This window comes from Homo sapiens, chromosome 8 (assembly GCF_000001405.40).
Source record: "Homo sapiens chromosome 8, GRCh38.p14 Primary Assembly".
In the NCBI taxonomy this organism is placed as follows: Eukaryota; Metazoa; Chordata; class Mammalia; order Primates; family Hominidae; genus Homo; species Homo sapiens.
The window spans coordinates 515,075-540,569 of NC_000008.11; the positions used below are offsets into that span (position 1 = coordinate 515,075).

Sequence of the window (25,495 nt, forward strand, 5' to 3'; positions counted from 1 at the left end):
CAGTTCTGTAACCTTGTGGGAATCCACACAGAGCCTCCTTGGCCTGAAGTTCACCAAAGAGAAGACGGCACTGATGTATGTTCTGTGCACAGCCAGAGATCCAAGTACAAGCACACTGATAGGTTCTCTTCCCCTCATTCTCAGTGTCTTTTCTGCTCTATCTTTTCTATGACTTTGTAACTGCTCACTTAGCAATCATTCAGACAGAAAAAAATGTAAAATTAGGAAATCTCTGATTAAAACTATGAGTATATACATTATGCATGTAAAGTGTTGTCTATATTAGCACACTGAAAGTACAGTTTGAGTGCCCCTTATCTGAGATGCTTGGAACCAGAAGTATTTCAGATTTCAGATATTTTGGGATTTTGAAATATTTGCATTATACCAGTTGAGCATCCCTAAACTGAAAATCCAAAATCCAAAATGCTCCAATGGGCATTTTTGTCGATCATCATGTCAGCATTCAAAAAGTTTTGAATTTTGGAGCATTTCACATTTTTAGATTAGAGATGCTCAACCTGTACTATCAAAATAAATGACATTCTAGTTGGCACAACCCACTGATGTCAGGAAGAGGATTGGGCAGCCTCTAACATTACTACTTACTGACAATTAATTGTTAAGTTATAATCAAGACAATGCATAAGAGAGAAATAAAAGTTACAGTTACTGGAAAGGAAAATATAATTTTTATCACTATATAATTAAATAAGTATGTGCTAAATATATAAACTGAATTATAGATTATATAATTACTTTTAGACAATGACTACATAACTAGAAAATGGGAGAGCATCAAAGAACGATTAGACCTAACAAAAAATGGCTGAATATAAAAGAAATAAAAAATAAATGGCTTTATTACAGTTAGACAATAGAAAAAGAAATGCCATTCACAAGAACCATAGTTAAAATGTCCAAAAGAACAAGTTACAAGTTTCCTTAAAAATTACATTAAAAACAAGATTTGAATAAATAAAGAGAAAAATCATACCTGAATGCCTGAATGGATGGCTGAACATTAAAAAAATATATAATTTATCCTCAAAGTACTACACTGGTCCGGTAGAGCGGTTCCTAAATGTGGTGGTGTGAATGGAGAAGAAAACATACAGGTCTCAGGAGGTTCACATCTAACCTATTCCCTTGTCATAAAATCTCCCCCAAGTGAGCTACTATCACTATTGGGACTATGGCGTGTCCCTCAGGAATGTGGAATACAAATAAAACATTCAAGAGAATGAGAGGAAAAGCCATAGACTTGGAGAAAATATTTGGAAAAGGCACATCTGATAAAGGATTGTTGTCCAAAATATACAAGGAACTCTTAAAACCCAACAATAAGAAAACAGCCCTATAAAAAATGAGCAAAAGACTTTAACAGACACTTCACCAAAGACATGGAGATGGTAAATAAGCATCTGAAAAGATGCTCCACAACATCTGTCATCAGGGAAATGCAAATTAAGACAGCAACAAGACACTGCCACACACCTATCAGAACTGACAAAACCCAGACCCCCACCACCAGATGCTGGCAAGGACATGGAGCAGCAGGAACTCTCGTTCACTGCTGGTGGGAAAATGGTGCAGCCATTTCAGAAGACAGTTTGGCAGTTTCTTATAAAACTAAACACTCTCACCATGCAAGCCGGCAATCACGGTTCTATTTATCCAAATGACTTGAAACCAAATGACTTGAAAACTTATGTCCACAAAAAAACTTACATATGGATGTTTATGGCAGCTTTATTCGGAAATGCTAGAACTTGGAAGCAACCAAGATGCCCTTCAGCAGGTGAATGGATAAGCTGGTACATCCAGATGATAGAATACTATTCAGTGCTAAAAAGAAATGCACTATCAAGCCATGAAAAGACATGAAGGAATCTTAAATGTATAAACCAACTAAAATTCTAAGCCTCCTGATGCACTGAATGGACTCTGCTCTTGGAGGAACCAGAAAAACTAGTTCAGGCCGTGATGGGAAGGAGGAAGTCAGACATGCCTCATTATACTTTCCTCCCTTTGGCGCTCAGGCAAAACTGAAGAGCATTAACATTAAAACAGAGACCTTAAGACTGACAGAAGGGACTCTTTGCATCAGTGAGATACCAAATTCCAACCTAACTCTGGTACAGCATCACATGACAGCAGGCCCTAAAGGAAATAAAAATATTTTACCCCAAAATATATTTCACATATTTTGGAATGGCCCTGCCCAGCTGTCTCTTGTGGGGAGAATTTACATTCTATGGGGCATCCCCATCCCTTCCCAGGTCTTTTCCTGAACAAGGAGAGATTAAACGAAGCATCTGACACCGTTTAAGGTCTGCTAAGAGACATTTACCATCTATTCTCTCTGAAGCCTCTACCTGGAAGCTTCAAGAACCTGGGCTTCCACAACCTCCTTTATCTTAACCCCAAGCATTCCATTCCTTTCTGACTTCAGGCAGAGCTTAACCCTTCCAACCAGCTGCCAATCAGGAAATCTTTAAATCCACCTACAACCTGGAAGCCCCCACTTCAAGATGTCCAGCCTTTCCAGGCCAAACCAATATATACCTTACATGTATTGATTTAAAACTGTAACTTTTGTCCCCCTAAAATGTAGAAAATCAGGCTGTAGCCCAACAACCTTGGGTACATGTTCTCAAGATCACCTGAGGCTATACAGCAAAATTGTCATTGTGTCTCAGAATAAATCTATTCAAATATTTTACAGAGTTTGGATTTTTCTGCCAACAAATACATCTTACTAAGTGAAAGAAGCCAATCTGAAAAGGCTACACACTGTGTAATTACAACCAAATGACATTCTGGAAAACACAAAACTATGGAGACAGTAAAAAGATCCGTGGTTGCAAAGGGTTCAGGGGAGGGAGGGATGAAAAGGTGGAGCACAGTGGAATTTTAAATCTTATGGCAGTGGAACCACCAGGCCTGATGCTACACTGGTGGACACGTGCCACCGTACACTCATCCAGACTCACAGAACAGACAACACCCAGCGTAAACACTAATGTCAACTATGGACTTTGGCTAACAATGATGCATCAATGTATGTTCGTCAATTTTAACAAAGGCACCGCTCTGGAGAGGGATGTTGGTAGCAGGGAAGGTAGGGAAGGTAGGGAAGGTAGGGGCCAGGAGGCACCTAAGAACTCTGTGCCTTCCCTTCAATTTTGCTGTGAACTTGAAACTGCTATAAAAAAGAGTCTATTGAAAAAGAGAAGATGACAACAATAACTGGCTCAATAACACACACAACAAAGCCAACAGGCATGGGTACACATAAGTCTAATAAAAGGTAACCTGTGCTACCAGTTATTAAATGTATTAGAAAACTTCACTAAGACAACTGTAGAAATGGAATAAAAGTATATAAAAGAACAAAGAAAACAGATGGAAAACCCAACAAACCCATGTATATAGAGATTTTAGTATACAGTAAGAGGTGCATGACAAAAAAGGAAAAAGAACAAAAGTCTAGGAAAGCTGAGTAACTATTTTGAGAGAAAAGGATCTTTTCTTCACAGCAAAGTAACTTCGACCAGTTAAAGAGTTATTCCTTTTAAATGAAGCCATAAAGGAACTAAAAGAATCTGATCTCAGGGAAAGAAATTCCTTTCTAAGCCTTAGGGCAAATGAAAAAAAATTGGAAAAGTAAATAGATTCCACCATTTTTTTTTTAGCTTAAAAGGTCATTTACATAAATATCTTAATAGAAAGTCTAATTTGAAATTCATACAAATTTATTAACAAATCAAATACTGGAGTATGGTATAAAAAACTCAATGTTTAGTCTTTATCCTTGGTTCCTGACACAGAGTTCCTGAAAGTATTGGAATTTACTGCCTTTCGTACACTAATGAGATGACTGACAGGAGGCTGGTAGAGCTTCAGGATGGAGTCTGTCACCAGAAATGCCAACACCTTGATTTCAGGACTAGAACTTTCAGCCCCACACCCACCTCCTCCTCTGACCTCCAAAGAGAGAAGGAGGGCTAGAGATTGAATCCAGTCACCAATGGCCAAAGATTTAATCAGTCATGCCTAGGGAATGAAACCTCCATTTAAAAAGCTAAATGACAGAGTTCTGGAGCTTCCAGGTTAGTGAACCCATCCATGTGCTGAGAGCATGCATGTTGAGAGGGATGGACGCTGTGTGCCCTCCCCATGCCTTCCCCTTTGCTATCTCTCTTCTGTTGAGCTGTTCCTCCGCTGTATCCTTTCAAGTGACCAGCAATCCTGAAAAATGAGCTTTCTGGAGTTCTGTAAACTATTGGACATGACAGAGAGTCATGGGAAACCCCCACTTTAGAGTCAGCTGAGTAGAAGCAAGGGTAGCATGGATACCTATGACATCAACTCTACCATCTTAACTACCTTCAAGTATAGAGTTCAATTGCGTTAACTACATGCAAACTGTTGTACAACAGATCTCTAAAACTTTTTCATCTCGTAAAACTCTATATACAGACTGAAAAACCCCCCTCTCCCCCACCCTCAGCCCCTCGTGACCACCATTCTGCTTTCTCTAAGAGTTTGCTGTAACCCTCAAAGGGTTGGGTTGCTCACTGCTTGTAAAAAGAACCCAAAATAATAATGAGGTGTGACTAAAAGAGAGTGAAAAAATCTACTCTTCAATTTGTGGAGGGAACGTACTTTTTAAAGACAGGGTTTGGAATGCAGAAGAGGCAGTGGGGCGAGGCATTGTCAAGTGGTATGTGACCCACCCTGATGGCTCATCTTGAATTATTGTTCCACCTGGTGAAGGGGCTGGCGCCACTGTGGCCAGAGGTGTCTGATCCGAATCAGCATCTGGCCCCTGAAGCTTCTAAGGAAATATATGACCAGATAAGTGGGCAATTTATGTGCTTTACCGGCATCCAGCTAAATAAATGCGTGTAAGGCACAGAATGGGAAAGAAAGGGAATGGAGGTCACAGCACGTTCAGAAGCTGTATTTCAAAATGAAAGGAAACACATAGGCAGTTTTGTTTCAAAGTTATATCCTGTGGTTGGGGAGAAAAGTGGAAAGAAAACATTTTAAAACACGGTTTGAAGCCAAGCTGCTCAGTTACATGACTACTTTCAATACCTCATGTAAGTAGAACCACGCATTAGTTGTTTTTTTGTGCCTCGCTTATTTCATGAAGCATAATATTCTCAAGTTCATCCATATACTAGCATATTATCAGATTTCCTTCTTTTCTAAGGCTGAATAATATTCCATTGAACATATGTACTATATTTTCCTTATCTATTAATCCATCCACAGACATGGAGGCTGCTTCTCCTCTTATTATAAGTGGTGCTGTAATGAACATGGGTGTGCAAATCTCTTTGAGATCCTGTTTTCCTTTCTTTGGGATATATACACAGAAGTGGGATGGCTGAAACATATAATTCTATTTTTAACTTTTTGATAAATCTCTATACAGTTTTCCACAGCAGCTAAATCATTGTTACAAGATTGCCAACAGTGCACAGGTGTTCCAATCTCCCCGCATCCTTGGTTACACTGGTTATTTTGCTTTTTTGATTGTAGCCATACTAATGGTTGTGAGGTGACATCTCATCATGGTTTTGATTTGTATTTCCCTGATGATTAGCAACGTTGAACATCTTTTCATATGCTTATAGGTCATTTGTGTATCTTCTGTGCACCAACGTCTACTCAAGTCCATTGCCCATTTTTTAATCAGGTTTTTTGTTGTTGTTTGGTCATAGGAGTTCTTTAAATATTTTGGATATTCACCCCTTATTAGAGATATGGCTGAGAAATATTTATCCCATTCCAAACGTTGCATTTTTACTTTCTTGTTTCCTTTGTTACATGTAAGTCTTAAATTTTGATATGCTTCAATTTGTCTATTTTTGCTTTTTCCTGTGTTTTGGTGTCATATCCAAGAAATCATTGCCAAATCCAATGCCCTGAACCTTTTCTCCCGTTTTCTTCTAGGAGTTTTATAATTTCTGATTTAGGTCTTTAATCTATTTTGAATTAATTTTTGTACAGGTGTTAAAGATCCAACTTTGGCAGGGAGCAGCAGCTCACACCTGTAATCCCAGCACTTTGGGAGGCCGAGGCAGGCGGATCATGAGGTCAGGAGATAGAGATCATCCTGGCTAACACGGTCAAACCCCGTCTCTACTAAAAATCCAAAAAAAAAAAAAAAAAAAAAATAGGCAGGCGTGGTGGTGGGCGCCTGTAGTCCCAGCTACTTGGGAGGCTGAGGCAGGAGAATGGCGTGAACCCGGGAGGCGGGGCTTACAGTGAGCCGAGCTCACACCACTGCACTCCAGCCTGGGCAAGAGAGAGAGATGCCGTCCCAAAAAACAAAAAAAGATACAACTTCATTTTTTGCATGTGAATATCCAGTTTTCCCAACAGCATTTGTTGAAGAGACTATCTTTTCTCCATTGTGTAATCCAAGCAGCCCTGTTTAAGATCATGTGACCATATACATGAGGGCTTATTTCTCTCTACTCTGTTCCATTGTTCTATATGTCCGTGTTTATGCCAATATCATACTGCTTTCATTACTGTACTTGTATAATTTGTTTTCAAGTTGGAAAGTGTGAGGCTTCCAGTTTTTGTTTTTGTTTTTTTCTTTCTCAAGATTGTTTTAGCTATTCAGGTCATTTGAGATTCTATATGAACTTTAGAATTTCTTTTCTACTTCAGCAAAAAAAATGCCAATGAGATTTGCATTGAACCAGTGGATTGCTGTGGGTAATATGGACATTTTAACAATATAAGTCTTCCAAACCATCAACATGGGCTGTCTATTTATGTCTTATTTAATAACTTTCAGCAATGTTTTATATTTTTTCAGTCTTTCACCTCCTTCATTATTTCTAAGTACCTTTTTTCTTGATGCTATTATAAGTGTTTTATTAATTGTTTTCTTAATTTCCATTTGGGATTTTTCATTATTAGTGTAAAAATGTGCCTGACTTTTCATGTTGATATTGTATCCTGCAACCTTGCTGAATTTGTTCATGAGCTGTAACATTTTTTGTGTGTTTGGGATCTTTAGGGTTCTCTACATACAAGGTCAGACAGTCCCCTATTTACATTGTGCTACTATGTCTCCCTTCAATCCTCTAAACGTTTATGTCACACATTTGAGCACTCTGCTGTCAGATGCAGATATAACCGTTATATCTTCCTGGTGAACTGGCCCCTTTGTCATTATGGAACAGGAATTAAAAGAAATTAAAGACTGTGTAAGCAAAAACTCAGTTGTATGTAAGAAAACCCAATTCCCCTTGAGGAAGAGAAAGGGCTGGAGTCCTTTAAAATTAACTGCCTGTTTTTCTCTCTGTGGCTAGTGAGACTCATCTCTCCCTTTGCCATGCATTGTGAAGACTCTGTTTCTCTAGCTGTGCAGCTCTAAGGTCACTAGACAGATAATCTCAAGTCGTAAAACATGTTGTTCCTTGAAAAGTAAGAAATAATGTAATGCATGTCTTAATTAAATAACTGTCTTTGTTTCTCGCTTCTGTAATATGCTTTGCCCCGCACAGATCTCCCTCCGCCCCATGAAATGCTTAAAAGGTAGCTTGACTCTTTGTTTGGGGCTCAGTCCTTTGGATGTTAATCCGACTGACTCGGTGCACCTAAATAATTAAATAATTCCTCCTCAACCCCTGCCTCTGATTCCTCAATTATCCCACAGCAATTACATAGTCCTTCTTTGTGTTTTGTGACAGTTTTTGACTTTTATCCGATATAAGTAGGCCACTCCTACTCCCTTTTAGTAGAGAACATGGAATATCTCTTGCATGGAATCTTTTTCCATATTTTCAGCTTACGTGTATCCTTATATCTAAAGTGAGTATCTTGTAGGTGGCATGTGATTGGATCTTTTTTTAATCGATTAAACCACACGTAGTTTTGGTTGGGGAGTTTAATCCATTTACATGGAAAGTAATTACTGATAGGGTAGGACTTACTATTGCCACTTTGTTAATTATGTTCTTTAAGTCTTGTAGTAATTTTGACCCTCTTTTCCTCTCTTGCTGACTTCCTTTAATATTTTGTAGTGAAATGTTTTTATTCCTTTTTCTTTTCTGTATCCCCTAGGCATTTTCTTTCTGGTTATCACAGGGATTACATAAAACATCTTATAGTTATAATAATCTATTTTAAACTGATAATTTAACTTAACCCCGCATATAAATGTATTACTTTATGTCTCCCCTTTATGCTATTCCTATCACAAATTAATTTTTTCGGGGGGAATGGAGGTGGAGTAAGATGGCTGAATGGAAGCCTCCACCAATCATCCTCCCTGAAGGAACACCAAATTTAACAACTATCTACACAAAAATCACCTTTATAAGAACTAAAAATCAGCTTGGGTACCAGCTCAGCCACAGTAGGGTATAGCAGCAGTCAAGCTCCTGGGGTCCCTGATTCCAGGCCTTCCTACTTGGATGGCATTTCTGGACTTGCCCTGGGCCAAAGGGGAACCCACTGCCCTGAAGGATATGTCCTAGGCCTTGCAGCATTCACGAGCTGACTAAAGAGCCCTTGGGCCTTGAGTTAACATCGGCAATAGCCTGGCAATACTCTCCGAGGGCCTGGGGCAGTGGTAGCCAAGGGGAGAGGCTCCTCTGCTTGTGGAAAGGGGAGGGAAGAGTGGGAAGGACTTTGTCTAGTGGCTGGAGTGCCAGCTAGGCTGCAGTAGAATAGAGCACCAGGTTGATTCCTGAGGTTTCTGACTCCAGGCCCTGGCTCCTGGACAGCATCCCTAGATACATCCAGGGACCAGGGGGAACTCATTGTCCTGAAAGGAAGGATATAAGCCTGGCTGACTTCACCACCTGCTGATTGTAGAGCCCTAGGGCCTTTAGCGAACAAAAGTGGTAGCCAGGCAGTGGTTATAGCAGGGCCTTGAGCGAGATCCAGAGCTGTCCTAGCTTCTGGTCTGAATCAGCACAGTCCCAGGGCAGTGGCCACAAGAGTGCTTGTGTCACCCCTCTCCCAGTTCCCAGCAGTTCAGCACAGACAGACTCCATTTGTTCGGGAGAAAGTAAGAGAAAACAACAAGAGTTTCTGCCTGGTAATCCTGGGAATTATCCTGGATCTTAACCAAAACCAAGTTGGTATGTCTACAGGTCTGCAAGAGTCACAGCATTACTGGGCTTGGGGTGCCCCTAATACAGTGACGAAAAACTTAGATCACAACACCCAAGTCCCTTTGAATACTTGGAAAGCTTTCCCAAGAAGGATGGGTACAAACAAGCCCAAACTGCATATACTACAATAAATTACTAACTCTTCAATGCCCAGACACACACGAACATCCACAAGAATCAAGATCATCCAGGAAAACATAACCTCACCAAACAAACTAAAGGCCTCAGAAACAGAGATATGTGACCTTTCACAGAGAGAATTCAAAATAACTACTTTGAGGAAACTCAACAAAATTCAAGATGACACAGAGAAGGAATTCAGAATCCTATCAGATAAATTTGACCAGGAGATTGAAATAAGTGTTCTTACATCAAGCTTTTAAAACATCAAGCAGAAATTCTGAAAAATTTACAAGCTAAAAAATTAAACTGACATATGAAGAATGCATCAGTCTCAAAAGTAGAATTGATGAGGCAGAAGAAAGAATTAGTGATCTTGAAGACAGGCTATTGAAAATACACAGTCAGAGGAGACATGAGACAAAAGAATAAAAAACAATGAGGCTTGCTTACAGGATCTAGAAAATAGCCTCAAAAAGGCAAAGCTAGGAGTTATTGGCCTTAAACAAGAAGTAGAGAACGAGAGAGAAGGGTAGAAAGTTTATTCAAAGGGAGAGTAACAGAGAACTTCTCAATCCTAGAGAAAGACATCTATATTCAAGTACAAGAAGATTATAGAACACCAAGCAGATTTAACCCAAACAAGACTACTTCAAGGCTTTTACTAATCAAACTCCTAAAGACCAAAGATAAAGAAAGGATTCTAAAGTCGGCAAGAGAAAAGAAACAGATAGCATACAATGGAGCTCCGATAGGTCTGGCAGCAGGCTTTTCAGTGGAAACCTTACAGGTCAAGAGAGACAGCGGCATGACATAATTAAAGTGCTGAAGGAAAAACATTTTTACCCTAGATTATCTGGCAAAAATGTCCTTCAAGCATGAAGGAGAAAGATCTTCCCAGACAAACAAAAGCTGAGGATTTTCACCAACACCAGATCTGTCCTACAAGAAATGTTAAAGGGAATTCTTCAATTTGAAAGAAAAGGATGTTAATTAGAAAGAAGAAATTATCTGAAGGTACAAAACTTACTGGTAATACTAAGTACATAGAAAAACAGAATATTATAACACTGTATTATACTGTTAAAGTACTCATATCTTATGTAGTTTATACTTTAAATGACAAACCAATTAAAAATAACTTCTTAAGATGTAATACAATAAGATATACATGGAAACAACAAAGAGAAATCAGGGGGATGAAGTGGAACTGTAGAGTTTTTACTAGTTTTTGCTCGTTTTTTAATGCAATAAGTGTTAAATTGTCATCAGTTTACAATAATGGGTTATATTATTTGCAAGCCTCATGGTAACCTCAAATCAAAAAACATACAATGGATACACAAAAAATAAAAAGAAATTAAAACATACCACAAGAGAAAATCACCGACGGGAAGGAAGGAAAGAAGAAAAGACCGCAGAACAACCAGAAAACAAGTAAGAAAATGGCAGGAGTAAGTCATTATTTATCAATAACACTGAATGTAAATGGACGAAACTCTCCAATCAGTTTGAGTACAATTGCTATTAGTATTTCTTTAAATGTTAGGTGGAATTCAGCAGTGAAGCCATTGGGTCCTGGGCTTTTCTCTGCTGGAAGTCTTTTTATTCTGGCTTTGATCTTATTGTTATTGGTCTGTTCAGGTTTTGGATTTCTTCATGGTTCAAACTTCACAGGTTGTATGTATTTCTTCTAGATTTTCCAATTTATTGGCATATAGTTGCACAATATGCCTTTATTGTGCCTTTAGTGAGTAGCCTTTAGTGAGCCTTTGAATTTCTGCAGTATTTGTTGTAGCCATGCCCAGCTTATTTTTGTATTTTTAGTAGAGACAGGGTTTCGCTAGGTTGGCCAGGCTGGTCTTGAACTACTGGCCTCCAGTGATCTGCCCATCTCAGCCTATCAAAGTGCTAGAATTACAGATGTGAGCCACCATGCCCAGACTCTAGTTCTTTAAAATGCACCACTGGGTTGTCAGTATGATACTAGCTATGAATCTGTTGCATATGGCTATTATTATGTGGAGTTATGTTCCTTCTATACAGTTTTTTGAGCGTTCTTATTATGAAGAGATGTTGAATTTTATCAAGTGCTTTTTCAGCATCAATCGAAATTATCATATGGGTTTTGTCCTTCATTGTGTTGATATGATGTATCACGTTGGTTGATTTGCATATACTGAACCATCCTCACATCCCTGGGATAAAAAGATCATAATTATCTTTTTAGTATGTTGTAGAATTTGGTTTGCCAGTATTTAATTGAGAATTTTTACATCTATGTTCATCATATTGGCCTGTGGTTTTCTCTTTTTGGTATGTCTTAGTCTGGTTTTATATGAGGGCAATACTAGCCTTGTAGAATAGCTTTGGACTTATTCCCTTCTCCTCTATTTTTCATACTGAAGGGAAAAATGAAATCCTTTCCTCTCAGATCTGGAACATGACAAGGATGCCCACTTTTACCACTGTTATTCAACGTAGTACTGGAAGTCCTAGCTAGAGCAATCAGACACCAGAAAAAAATAAAAGACATTCAAACTAGAAAGGAAGAAATCAAATAATCCTTGTTTGCAGACATGATCTTATACTTGGAAAAACCTAAAGACTCAACCAAATAGGGCAGGCACAGTGACTCATGTCTGTAATCCCAGCATTTTGGGAGGCTGAGATGGGAGGATGGCTTGAGGCCCAGAGTTAGAGAGACTCCACCAAAAGGCTATTAAAACTAATAAACAAATTCAAAATCAACAGACCAAAAACACTTGCCATTTCTATACACCAAAAGCAGACAATCTGAAAAAATAAAATTAAAAAAGTACAAAAAAAATTAAATACCTAAGAAGTAACTGAACCAAAGAAGTTAAAGATCTCTACAATGAAAACTATAAAACACTGATGCAAGAAATTGAAAAGGACACAAAAATGAAAAGATATTTCATGTTCATGGACTGGAAGAGTCACTATTGTTAAAATATCCATATTGCCCAAAGCAATCTACAGATTCAATGTAATCCCATTCATACCAATGACATTCTTCACAGAAATGGAAAAAAAAAATCCTAAAATGTATATGGAATCACAAAAGACCCAGAATAGCCAAAGCTATCCTGAGCAAAAAGAACAAAACTGGAGGAATCATGTTACCCGACTTCAAATTATACTACAGAGCTAGAGTAACCAAATGGAACTGGCACAAAAAGACACATAGGCCAATGAAAGAGAATAGAGAACCCAGAAACAAATCCATACATCTACAGTGAAGTCATTTTTTACAAAGATACCAAGAACATACATTGGGAAAAGGACAATCTCTTCAATAAATGGTTCTGGGAAAACTGGATATCCACATGCAGAAGAATGAAACTAGACTCCTATTTCTCACCATACACACACACAAAAAATCAAATCAAAATGGATTAAAGACTTAAATCTAAGACCTCACACTACGAAACTACTAAAAGAAAACATCAGGGAAACTCTCCAGGACATTGGACTAAGCAAAGATTTCTTAATACCCCACAAGCACAGGTAACCAAAGCAAAACTGGACAAATGGGATCACATCAAATTAGAAAGCCTCTACAGAGCAAAGGGACCAATCAACAAATGGAAAGGCAACACACAGAATGGGAAAAAATATCTGCAAACAACCCACCTGACAAGGGATTAAGAATCAGAATATAAAAGGTGCTCAAACACATCTATAGGAAAAAACCTAATAATCCAATTAAAAAATGGACACAAGACCTGAGTAGACATTTTCCAAAAGAAGACATATAATTGGTAAATGGGTATATGAAAAGGTATTCAACATCAGTGATCATCAGAGGAATGCAAGTCAAAACTACAATGAGATATCACTCACATCAGTTAAAATGGCTTTTATCCAAAAGACAGGCAATACCAAATGCTGGTGAGGATGTGGAGAAAAGGAAACCGTTGTACACTATTGGTGGGAATGTAAAATAGTACAGCCACTATGGAGAACAGTTTGGAGGTTACTCAAAACACTAAAAATAGAACTACCATAGGATCCAGCAATCCCACTGCTAGATATATACCCAAAAGAAAGGAAATCAATATATCAAAGAGATATCTGTGCTTCCAATATATATTGCAGCACTGTTCACAACAGCCAAGATTTGGAAGCAACCTAAGTATCCATCAACATCAACATACAAAAATATAGTTAGCATAAGATCTGGTACTTGACAGCACAACAGGATGACTACAGCCAATAATATTAAATAATTGTACTTTTAAAAAATAAGAGTATAATTGGATTGTTTGTAACACAAAGGATAAATGCATAAAGTGATGGATACCTCATTTACTCCGATGTGATTATTATGTATTATATGCCTGTATCAAAATCTCATGTACCCCTGTACCAGTCAGGGTTCTCTAAAGGAATAGAATAGGATATATACATATATTTATTTATATATAACTATGTGTGTGTGTATATGTGTGTATATATGTGTGTGTATATATGTGTGTGTGTGTGTAAAGGGGAATTTATTAAGTAGTATTAACTCACACAATCACAAGGTCCCACAACAGGATGTCTGCAAGCTGAGGAGCAAGGAAGCCAGTCCGAGTCCCAAAACTGAAGAACTTGGGAGTCTGATGTTTGAGGGCAGGAAGCATCCAGCACAGGAGAAAGATATAGGCTGGGAGGCTAGGCCAGTCTAGCCTTTTCATGTTTTCTGTCTGCTTTATATCCTGGCTGTGCCAGCAGCTGATGAGATGATGCCCACTCAGATTGGCGGTGGGTCTGCCTTTCCCAGTCCAAGGATTCAAATGTTAACCTCCTTTGGCAACACCCTCATAGACATACCCCAGGATCAATACTTTGCATCCTTCAATCCAATCAAGTTGACACTCAGTATTAACCATCACATCCCCTAAATATACACACCTACTATGATCCCACGAAAATTAAAAATTAAAAAACCAAATCGAGTATTTTATATTTTTATCTATTAACATAGTTTTAGTTATTTTTATGCTTTTGTCTAATTCTATACCAGAATTTAAAGTTGTTTGCTCACCACCATTACTATATTATAGGATTCTGTTTTTGTCCACATATTTCCCTTTACCAGAGAGTTTTTTCATATACTTTTATATTGCTATTTAGCATCCTTTCACTTCAGCTTCAAAGAATCTCTTTAGCATTTCTTACAAGGTAGATCTAGTGGTGGTGAACTTCTTTGGCTTTGGTTATCTGGGAAGGTCTTTATTTGTTCATTTTTGAAAGATGGTTTTGCCAGCTACAGTATTCTTGGCTGGCTGGGTGTATTTTTATTTTTAACAACACTTGAACTGTATCACCCCACTCCCTTTTGTACTGTAATGTTTCTGCTGACAAATCTGCTGATAATCTTATGGGAGCTCCCTTGTTATATGACAAGTTGCTTTTCTCTTTCTTCTTTCAAAATTCTCTACCACTGACTTTTGGCAATTTGATTAAAATCTTTCTCAGTGTGGGCTTCTTTACCCTTTCTTTGGTTTCTTCCTACATGGAGTCCTTTGAGATTCTTGAATCTGGATGTCCATTTTCTTCCTCATATTTGGGATGTTTTGCACCACTCTTTATTCAAATAAGCTCTCTACTCCCTTTTCTCCTTTTGGGACTTCTACAATATGTATATTGGTCCACTCAATGGTGTGCCATAAATCCCTTAGGCTTTACTTTTCATTTTTTTTTTCTGATTTGATGAATTTAAATGAGCTGTTGAGTTTGACGATTCTTCTGCATGACTGGGTCAGCTTTTTAATCCCTCTAGTTAATTTTTCAATTCAGTTATTTCTCAGATGCAGAATTTGTATGGTTCTTTTTTTATAGTTCTGTCTTGTTGTTGATATTCTTGTTATTGCATTTTTTCTGATTTCATTTGCTTGACTATCTCTGTTCTCTCACAGCATACTAAGCTTCTTTAAGATGATCATTTTGAATTCTTTGTCAGATAATTCATTTATCTCTGTTTCTCTAGGGTCAAATTCTGGAGATTTATTTTGTTCCATTAATTGGGCCATATTTCTCTGTTTCTTCATATGTCTCATTATTTTTTTGCTGGGATTTGGGGTATCTGAAAAAACAGCCACCTCTCCCAGTCTTTATGGACTGGCTTGGTACAGGAGAAGAACTTCACCAATCAGCTCAGCTAGAGATTCTGGGGCCTCTCAAACCTTTTCTGGGGATGAATCTTCTCTGGGCTTGTACATGGAATGTCCCAATTAGAGAGGTCTGCCAGTTTCTTTTCAGTTGCTTGTAATCTCTCGATCCCTCTGGTGCTTGTCTGTGGCACTGCAAGTTGTCTGGCAGGGCAACAGGCTGTGGAGCTCTCGCTTGTTCTCAGCAGCCCCCAGACATCCAACATACCCTTGGTTCTCTCAGCGCTCTGAGTCAGGCAAAACAGGAATCAGTCTCTTGGGCAGTCCCCCTGAAAAGCCAGAATGTTAAATGCACTTTCCACTCTTCCCATTCCTGCCCAAGGGATAAGCCAAGAACCACACGCTCTCTCCTGACTGTGCTGAGCTGTCCCGACCTCCATCCGCAGCACTGCTGAGTCTCTGATGCTGCAAAAAGCCAGTTAACTCTTTTTTCTCTGAAGCCCCCAGGCATCCAAAGTATGCCAGTTCCCAGTCAGCACTGAGTCAGGAGAGACAGAAACCAGTCCATCAGGTGACCCCCCAAAATTCAGAATGGTGGACTTCCTTTCTTCACTTTCTACCCAGCAGAGAGTTGGGTGTTTACTACCAATCATGCCAAGCTGTGCCACCTTCAGGGAAAGGCAGGTGAAATTAAATGGCTTTTTTTTTCTCCTACTTCAATGCAGCTGTTCTTGGCTTTGAGCTTGCCTGGGGTACTGTGACTTCTAAACTGGTTTCTGTAATTCTCATACATCCTTTTGGACTGTATATTGTTGTCAGTCAGAGTCCGTGGGGGAACAAGGTCCGGGACTTTCCACTCCACCATTGTGCTGACATCAGACATTTTATGTGGAGTGGCATAAGAGACTTATGGTGAATTGGGCACCCGTTGGTATCTGGCATCTGAAGTGGGTGCAGTCTTGCGGGAATGACTCCTTAATCCATAGGATCTGTGCTAATTCTGGGAAGGGAATGTCAGAAGGAAACTGAATTGTAGGACACCCAGCTGGTACTGAAGAATTGGTTGGTGTCAGAAGAAACCACACATACGGACACTTTTTATCTACGACAAAAATGAAAAGGCGTAAGGATGCCATCTTTAATCACAGTTACAGACTGTCTTTTCTCTAAAATTTCTTGGCACAACTTCTTTCCACATCAAACAAATGTCTGAGTTATACTGTGGGGACAAAACTTCATTTTTTAAAAATATCACTATAAAACTTTATTTTGAAATATTAATCATCTTCAGTCCACAAGCTTAGTATTAACCACAGCCAAATATCTGGCAAAGAATAGCTAAAAGGAGATGTGAGTAGTTACAAGAAAACATTGAATCACACCACATATTATTTCAACCTAGTATTTTATGGTTTAAGAAATTGGAACAGGAATGGGGGGATTTCAAGCAGTACTCTGACAGTGGGCCCTGCGGTGGTTGCGTAATAAAATCTCCTGACTGTGATACACTTTGCTGCTATAGCAGAACAAAACAAACAAAAGACATGGTTTATATTTCTTTTTCTCCTAAGTCCAGGAGAACAGTTAGGTGTTCAACAGTGTCAGAAATCCAGGTTCTTGCCTTTAATTCCTCTGCCACCTCTGGACACTGCTCTCATCCATAGGGTGAAAGAGAGTGCACCACATCCACTAACCTCTGTGAAGGGGAAACAGAGGCAGCAGGACACATCCAGGAAGGTGCCTGTGTTGCATCTGCTCACATGTGGTGGCCAGCACTCAGTCATGAGCCTTGCAGGGTGAAGGATGCTGGGACTTCAGGCTGTGTGGCAGCCATGCACCCACTGAAACCTGCTACTGGGGGAAACCTGCAATCTGTCTCAGAAGGGCACATATTAGCCCCCAGGCTCCCTAGCAAGATGATGAACCCATCACACAGTTCTTGCTGACTACAGAAATGCACTCCAGCTCTTCTAGCTTCTATACTCTGCTAGGGTGAAGACCATGAATACAATCACAACTGTTCTAAATGTTTTCTCCTTGAGTATCATCTTGTTCATTTTATCATAGGATAAGGACCAAATAAGACCATTTATGCAAAAGCGCTTAAAACTATACAAATGCACACTTGCTAATACAATGGAAGCTCCGGAAGAATATAAGTCAGCTTCATGACTATGCTATTTATTTCTGAGTTTAGCATTAAGACTTCCTATTTTTACCCTAAATCACAACAAATTCTGTATCACAAACTCTAATAAGTTACCTTACAGTCAGAAGAGATTTCAAAGATCCTTTAGTCTAAACTAAGGGTCAGCAAATAACGGCCTGTGTTTGTAAATAAAGTCACTATACTGGAACCCAGCCACGATCGTTCATTTACAAGTTGCCTACGGCTGCTTTCACCTGCAACTGCAGAGCTGAGTGGTTCTGACACTGCATGGACCCCAAAGCCTAAAACAGTTACTATCCCTTCCTTTACAGTAAAAGTTTGCTGACTCCTGCTCTAGAGCCCTTACTTAAAACAGGAAGTCTGGAGAGAGGAACTCATTTGCCCCAAAGTCCCAAAATGAGTACCAGCGCTGGGACCCAGGCCTGCCTCCAGACCACTTCAGAGAGGCTTTTCTAGCACCATGCTGTCTCCCCTTGTTCTTCCTGGTCTCAACCACTCAACAACAAATTATGAGTTCTGAAGTGGAGAACCAGGTTCTTGTACATTTTTGACAGTGTCACAAGCCAGAAGCACATAAGCCTCTCCCTTCTGACCCCATGTCACTGCTGGGCTCCTCAACTCTGGACAGCAGGTAACATTTCAAAGCCAGCACGTCCATCGCAGCCTCATTGGGCTGCTCCCACAGCCAGGCCACCCCAGGGAGTTCCTTGCGACTGTCAGGGCACGCCCTTCTCCTGACAACCCTAGCTCAAAACTTTCACCTGCAGCTGCTTTTCTGCCTTCATCTCCACATCCAAAGGCACCAACTCTGATCAGCACTCTTTGGCAAGCTCACCTTTTCCTACATGTCCTGACAAATCTTCCATCTGAAACTCAGGTTCTCATTTCACAGCTGACCTCCCTGACTAGAACCCCAGACGTTTCATCGGCATCTTGCCCCCAACCCCTCCTCCTTAAACAGGTAGTCTTTGCAAAATACAACCAAGGGGTTACTCAGAATTCTTCAACATTCAGCTAAGAAATGAAGCCTCCACTCCTTAATGGGATTTTCCCAGTTCTTCCCTGTACAGCCCTCCTGTGTCAGTTCAACTGCTTCATTTTCTATCCCCCTCCCCCGATCACGAAGAAAAAAGGGAAGTATATAAAGTATAGGGTAGGCAGATGTACACCGGTTCTCTTTCCTCGCAATGTTCTAGCGCTTCTCACTTGCTAATTTACCGAGAACTGTTTATCTCCCATAGTAAGACTCTTTAATACAAGAAACTCTTTAATACAAAACTCAAGCATGACAAAAATTAAAAGTACACTGTCATGTTTACTGTATTGAAAATTGAGCCAAAACACAATTTTATCAGTGCTTTCAAAAGGCACTGATTGTTGAAGCCCTAGTTATTTAATATTTTTAAAAATTGGAAAATGAAGAAAAATGGTATCAGAAATTTGTCATAACCTATAAGGTAAGAGAATTCAACAAAGAATATAAACCCAGAGAAACTTGGATTCAAATTCCTACTGGTGGCTACTAACACAAATTATTTACAAGGTTGTAACTTTACACGAGTTATTTAACTTCTCTAAGATCATCGAATATAAAATACAGTTTAATCTCATTATTCACAGTAGTTATGTTGTACAAAGTTGCCACAGTCAATTAGCAAATACTAAATTATTGCTGTTAAGGGAAACACAAGGCTAGGGTTCCCGCGAGCCTCTGAATAACAACTTTTCATCAACAATGTGTGACCTTGTTTTACATGTATTTGTTTAAAGATGCCTGCTTTAATACCTGCTGTTGATTCATTCACACCGAACTCTCAGCCACCAGCCCTGTAACTCATGCCTGAGCCATCTCTAACACAGGTGCTCCCTCCGTAGGGAGTGCCACAGCTTTCTTGTGCTTGGGAACACTAGCCAGTGCTTTAGCACTATACTTGGGGGCTGTGAAAAACAGTGAAATCATACGCAAGCACAAACATGTAAAAAAAAGGTAGTTCTCAATAGACTGCAGGAAAGACACATGCCTCAGCTGGGAAGGAGCTCGCTGGGTGATGATGAGTGTTTGCTGCTCTGCAAGTTGTGGACGACTTTGAAGGCACTGTGAGTACTGATTTGCGGATTACAAATAAATTTTAGCAAGAAGCTGAAATTGCAAATATGGAATCCACAAATAATGAATATGAACTGTAACTACTTTTTGGGCTATTGTGAGAAGCTGCAATAGCTGTAAAGCACTCACTCCAATGCCCAGCACATGGCAGGCACCAGTATCATTATCCAGGATTCTATCCTCCAAACCAAGACACGCTCTGACTAAAAACGACACAACGCATTCTGAGTAAAAAGCATTCCATTCTCTGCCCACAACAGCAGCCTTGATAAAAGGACTCGTTATCTTTCAAACACTAGAACTAGAATATCTGCCATTTAGTCTATAACATTTTTGTACAGAATATTGTACTTCCATCTGAAAGATTAGAAAGCTACATCATGGTTTTAATATACATTTATTAATATCTTGAAAAAAGCCACACCCACAGCCCCCAAGGCCTCTCCTTAGATTCAAACTGGTCTGCGGGCTGTCCACACACTCGCCTGGTTCCCAAGTCTTTGGGAGCAGCTGCACCACCCTAGCTCATGGTCCAACCATTTCTAGACAAAGCCAAGGTGAGAGGAGGCAGTCTTCCCTCACAGCAACCCCCACAGAACTCCCAAAGCAGAAACTGTGGTTCGCCTGGTTATATACAGCACCAAGACAGAACCCCAGCTAACGTGGGGTGAAGGATCAGATAAAACGAACATAAAACGACCTCCCTGCCCTGAGCAGACAGGAAAGAAAAAGGAAGTGTCCCTGGTCCGTGGACTGCATCTTGACTCACTCTGAAATAACAGGTAAAATCCTCTTGAGCTTCAGTCTTTGGCTTTTAACTCCTAAGACAAGGCTGATGAGCCCCACATGTACATCCACTCCCCAAAGGCAGACGTAAAGCCAAGTCGCCCATTCCTCCCAACAGGTGATCTTAAAAAAGCAGAAGACAGACTGCAGGGCCTCCCACCATATGGACAAGTGCCCACCAGAGGCAGGTCTGAGCGTAGGGGTGGGCCCACCCGAGGCAGGTCTCAGCGTAGGGGTGGGCCCACCCGAGGCAGGTCTCAGTGTAGGGGTGGGCCCACCCGAGGCAGGTCTCAGCGTAGGGGTGGGCCCACCCGAGGCAGGTGTGAGTGTAGGGGTGGAACCCACCAGCCCTGGCTGAGCAAGCTGGGCTCCACATTCAGTGACGTTCAGTTTTCAAGACAGTGACTGACTCACAAAGTGAAACCCACAGCCTAACTCTAATAAGAATAGCAGCTTTTAGACATTCTAAGTCATGCCACCTTAAGCCCTAGCAAAAATCAGTAAAAGTACACCTTATCAATTAGGGTTTTAAACTCTCAGGAATAAAAATTTCAACCTATTATTAACATTTACAGGTGAAGATTATACAGAGTAATATGCTAAGGCCTGAAAGGCAGATATTTAAGCCCTCATCATTCTACCCTTCAGTGGCTTACTAAAAGCACACAGTTGAGACACCTGGAATTTACCTAGCTAATTGCTTGAGGAATTCCACAGGCCCAAGCAAGTAGAAGAATCCACCACCGTCTTTAGTGAGCTGATCTGAGTCTGGGAGAAGATTCTAGAGCTGTGCTTTCCAAATCAGTTGGCATTCACTAAAAACACTACTGAGGACCTGAAATAGGGCTAGTCAAACTGAGTTTTTAATTATTCAAATTTCAAGTTAAAAACATTCCATACTGGAAAACTTTTAAGTATGTTTGGAAGAACTCAGATAAAGCAACCTGTTTTTTCACCTGTACATTTTATAAACTCTAAATACTGATCAAGTATTTCTGAAGAAAACTTGGCATACAAATTGATACATATTAATATCTTGTGCTGGTAAATGTAAAATACACATAGATATGAGAGTATGAAAAAAATGTAAAGGATCTCTAACAAATTTTATATTGATTACCTATTGATGTAATATGCTGAATATATCAAATTTTAAATATTGAATTAAAACTTTTTAATGTGGCCACCAGAAAATGTTTTGCTATGTTTCAGTGGAGGAAAGCACCACTCTGTTCCACAGGCAGGAGCTCCCCAAGCATCAGTTAAGAGGAGCCAGCTGAATCCGGAGCGAATAAGCAGCGCCCAGGATCCTCCTTCCCTTCTATAATATCGTAACTGACCCTTCCTGCTTCCTCTCAAGTAATCACCCACAGAGACTTGACTCAAGTGCTTCTGCTGACTGAGTATCTGACTCAGCTCATATGAGAGTCCAATGAGACTAACCCTACAAATATCTGTTTACCCAAGAAAGAATCTGCATCAAGATCAGCTCCCCTAAGGCTGGAGAACTCCTGCTCCCCGCTCCAGACTCCAGAGTTCCCACCCTGACTCAATTCTGCAGCTCCCATCAGGTGCCGTAATGTGGAAACCCCACACCAGGTACACTCCTCTCAGGGGCACTGCTGAGCCCCACGTGGGCCTGGCTCCCTTCCTGGGCTGGCTCCCTGCCTGGTCTTGGGGATACAGCACTGAGCATTCAGCCTAGGATGAAATGGTCCTCCAGAGAGGCTTGTGATGTCCGAATGCCTGTCGCACAAGTGAGAAGTGCCTGAATGCAGCTGTCCCAGGACCCTCCTGCCTGCACCACACCCCACTGTCCACATCAACTCGGGCAATGAGCACATTCCAGAGCAAGGGATACCAGAAAACCAAATCCTAAGTCAGTAAAAAGCATTAACTATTTCTATTATTTAATAACAAGACCTCCTTTTTCTTCTTTTAGTGTGTCTGTTTGCCAGAGAAAAATATTAAGGGCTGGATATGGATGACTTCATTTACTTTTCACTTTTTCATTTCATCCCAGGGGCAGGACAGCCTGGTTTGCACACACTGGCCATGGGGACTACGAGGTTTTTAGAAGTCTTCATTGGTCTTGTAAACAAGTAAGAATTCACCGGGGTTTGAGAATTATGACTCCTTTAAAGTCGAATGCTAAATTAGCCTCCTATCAGTCTCACAACTACCTGAAACAAAAGAGGACATTTCCCAGAGGAGACGAGCCTAACTTCAGCTGTCACCTGACTCCAAGTTGCAAATCCTGCCTCCCTGTAAAGATAGGATAAATTTAGCAATTTTATCTTGAAAACATGAATACAATGGGTTTTACCTACTTGGTTATATAAAAGAGTAAGACTTCTTTCATCTTCACAATCTGTGCCTATGATGTGTCCCATCCTAGCTAAGTGCTCCTTCATAATAAAATTATTTTATTTCTCTTCCTATATTGTTAAGTTTTCTTGGTTGGGAAGAGGTTTTGTTTTTAAAACAAAATGTCTGCAACCTTTCACCACTGATAAAGAAAAAGCTTCTGCGGCATTGTTAAAACAGGGAGACTCCAATCAAGGCTATCTCAATAGAGGAGAGGTTTGGTTCAGCTCCCAACAGGCAAAGACAGCTGTGATTTGCAGCCAACCGCAAAGGAGTCTCGGGATGGGAAGTGACCAAGAGAAGACTTCATCAAGGGTGGGAGATTCTTGCTACAGGTGGGCCAAGAACTCAGACATCAAGGCCAGGGGATGAGGAACTCAATCAGACATCAAGGGTGAGGAGGTTCGCACTGCAGGGACTTCTACTGAGGCTGGGAAGGACAAAAGCGAGGTCCTGACTAAAGCTGGGTCAGATAGAGTCTGTTGGCAGCTGTGTAGCCTTCCCGGTCCCTCCTCCTTTGTGCCCATGTGTCAGATGGTGGCACCAACCCATATCAAGAATTTATGAACAGGGGCTAAGCACCGCCTCAATAAACACTAGTGATAGCTCTATTTATCCCAATTTTACAGCTAAAAAACAAAACTGATACTTGGCTAGGTCAAGTGGCTCAACAAAAGGCAGAGATAGGGTGTAGATTCAATCAAGGCTCACCAGAAACCAAGTCCAAATCTAAACTACCCAACTGTATTTTCATGCAAATACAGTTATCTTGACTACAGTTCCATACATTCAATGACATGGTAGTGGGACTGGGGGAGAAGTCTTTAGAAGTCTTCATTAGGCTTGTGAACATCTAAGAAGCTATTGAATATAAATAAGAGAAAGGCAAATTAAAATCACATTAAGATGCAACTTTTCCCCCCATCAGATCTAAAATCTTGAAGACATGCGCATCTCACCACACTGGTGAGAAACATTCGCATATGCTGCTGGTTGGAACGTAAACCAGGACCGCCTCTTTCAGAGGGCAATTTGGAGACATCCATCAAAACCACAAATGCACGCATCCTCGGACAGCTCCACTTCTAGACTTGTGAAATAACTATCCTGCAGGCCTATAATAGAAAGAGACTAGAAATATCCCCCTGAAGGCATCAATAGGGGACTCGTTTTTTCAATTTGTATTTAAAATCCTGTATATCCACGTAAGGAAATGCAATTGCTGTGGACTGAATGTTTGTGTCCCCAGAACTCACATCCCCTCATGTGATGGCATGTGCAGGTGGGTATGTAAGAGGTGATCAGGGTGAGATGGGAGTCACGAGGGTGGGGCCGGCACGATGGGATGAGTGTCCTAATATGGTGGTAAGAAGCTGGAGCTCCCTCTGCCTTGAGAGGATGTAGTGTGAAGGCAGTGGCCTCTGCAAACCAGGAAGCAGCCCCTCACCAAGAACGAAGCACCCTGATTTAAAACTTCCAGCCTCTGGAACTGGAGAAATAAATGTTTGTTGTTGAAGCTGCCCAGTTTATCCTATTCTGTTACAGTGGCCTGAATGAACTAGGATGACTGTATAACATTTAACACACAAACACAGACGAAAGAATGAGGAAGCTCTTCATGTACTGGTAAGGGCTACAACTTACTGCAAATGGGAAAAGGCAGGTGTGAAGGTGTTTACTGCAGGTTAATGTCTGCTTAAGAAAACAGCTTTATTTCTAAAGAGAAATAACGGAAAACAGTAACAAAATGTTAGCTATACAAGCAGGGAGAGAAAGGCCTCTGCCTCCCCACATACCCGCCCTCCAGCAGAACATCAGGCCTTTTCTGGATTTCAGAGCGATCGTCAATACGTTACTCCACTTCTTTCTTCCCAGACACCACTAAAGCAAACGTCACAGAGCCTCACAGTGTCATAAAAGTGTGACTTTGTGTCATCTAAACTAAGATTCACTATTCCTTGGCTCTCCCCATCTCCAAGCATGATTTTAAAACACCTGAAACACTCCTTGATGTCTTTTTTCTTTGCAATGTCTACAGAATATGTCTAAGCTTTTTAAATTTGTAAGTGAAAATATGTCAAAAATTCTGAGTTTTGTTTAGAAAGCCATTAGTTAAGCCTAGCCAAATCCCTATGCAATCCAGTTTAGAGGCAACTGATGAACTCTTCTACACTGTCCATGTCAGACCCATCTAAACCATCCATGTTGAACAGATCTCTGCACTTCTTTTCTCTACTATTTGCATAAAACTTTGAGGGCAGAGGTTAGAAGACGGCTCAGCAACCTTTATATTCACCGTAAGAGGCCCAATGAAATAAATTTTGTCACAGAAATTTAATATCATTTAGTATCCCACAGCCTTAAAATGGATTTTTTCCAACTAGCAGTACTGAAACGGGAAGCACTCCATGAGACACATATTATGAAGGGAACTCAAGGTACAGAAAAATGTTAACAGTGAGACAGCAAATCTTTGTTTCTGAACACACACCTATGTATCTGCATAAATGTTTCATGGACAGATATACAAAAGAGCTTAACAATGTTTCCCATTAGAAACTTTGAAGAAGTTAAGACCTGACAATCTCAACAAATATTTTACCATATGCATTAGCAGTTTTTCTTCAAGTAACATTAGATTCATGAAAACTTGCGTCTTTCTGTT

The 25,495-nt window shown here is 40.2% G+C and overlaps 1 protein-coding gene across 4 annotated transcripts in view, besides 3 other annotated features; it reads right to left on the bottom strand.

Annotated features, from left to right (window-relative positions):
- Positions 1-25,495, bottom strand: part of TDRP (testis development related protein) — a 55,835-nt gene that overhangs the window by 25,129 nt on the left and 5,211 nt on the right. Inside the window, exon 2 of one of the 4 annotated variants that reach the window (XM_047421392.1) lies at positions 1-25,495. This exon is cut by the window's right edge and continues 3,513 nt beyond it. The exons of the other annotated variants lie outside the window; for them this stretch is intronic. Coding sequence (XP_047277348.1) covers positions 1-138 — 138 coding nt within the window. The 5' untranslated portion in view covers positions 139-25,495. 4 annotated transcript variants of the gene reach the window in all.
- Positions 17,803-18,304: an enhancer, noted in NCBI's record as "H3K4me1 hESC enhancer chr8:482877-483378 (GRCh37/hg19 assembly coordinates)". NCBI's record gives its function as "activates a minimal SCP1, AML or CMV promoter by ChIP-STARR-seq in naive H9 embryonic stem cells {active_cell/tissue: H9 hESC(naive)}" and the evidence as "EXISTENCE:reporter gene assay evidence [ECO:0000049][PMID:30033119]".
- Positions 21,630-22,140: an enhancer, noted in NCBI's record as "H3K4me1 hESC enhancer chr8:486704-487214 (GRCh37/hg19 assembly coordinates)". NCBI's record gives its function as "activates a minimal SCP1, AML or CMV promoter by ChIP-STARR-seq in naive H9 embryonic stem cells {active_cell/tissue: H9 hESC(naive)}" and the evidence as "EXISTENCE:reporter gene assay evidence [ECO:0000049][PMID:30033119]".
- Positions 22,141-22,650: an enhancer, noted in NCBI's record as "H3K4me1 hESC enhancer chr8:487215-487724 (GRCh37/hg19 assembly coordinates)". NCBI's record gives its function as "activates a minimal SCP1, AML or CMV promoter by ChIP-STARR-seq in naive H9 embryonic stem cells {active_cell/tissue: H9 hESC(naive)}" and the evidence as "EXISTENCE:reporter gene assay evidence [ECO:0000049][PMID:30033119]".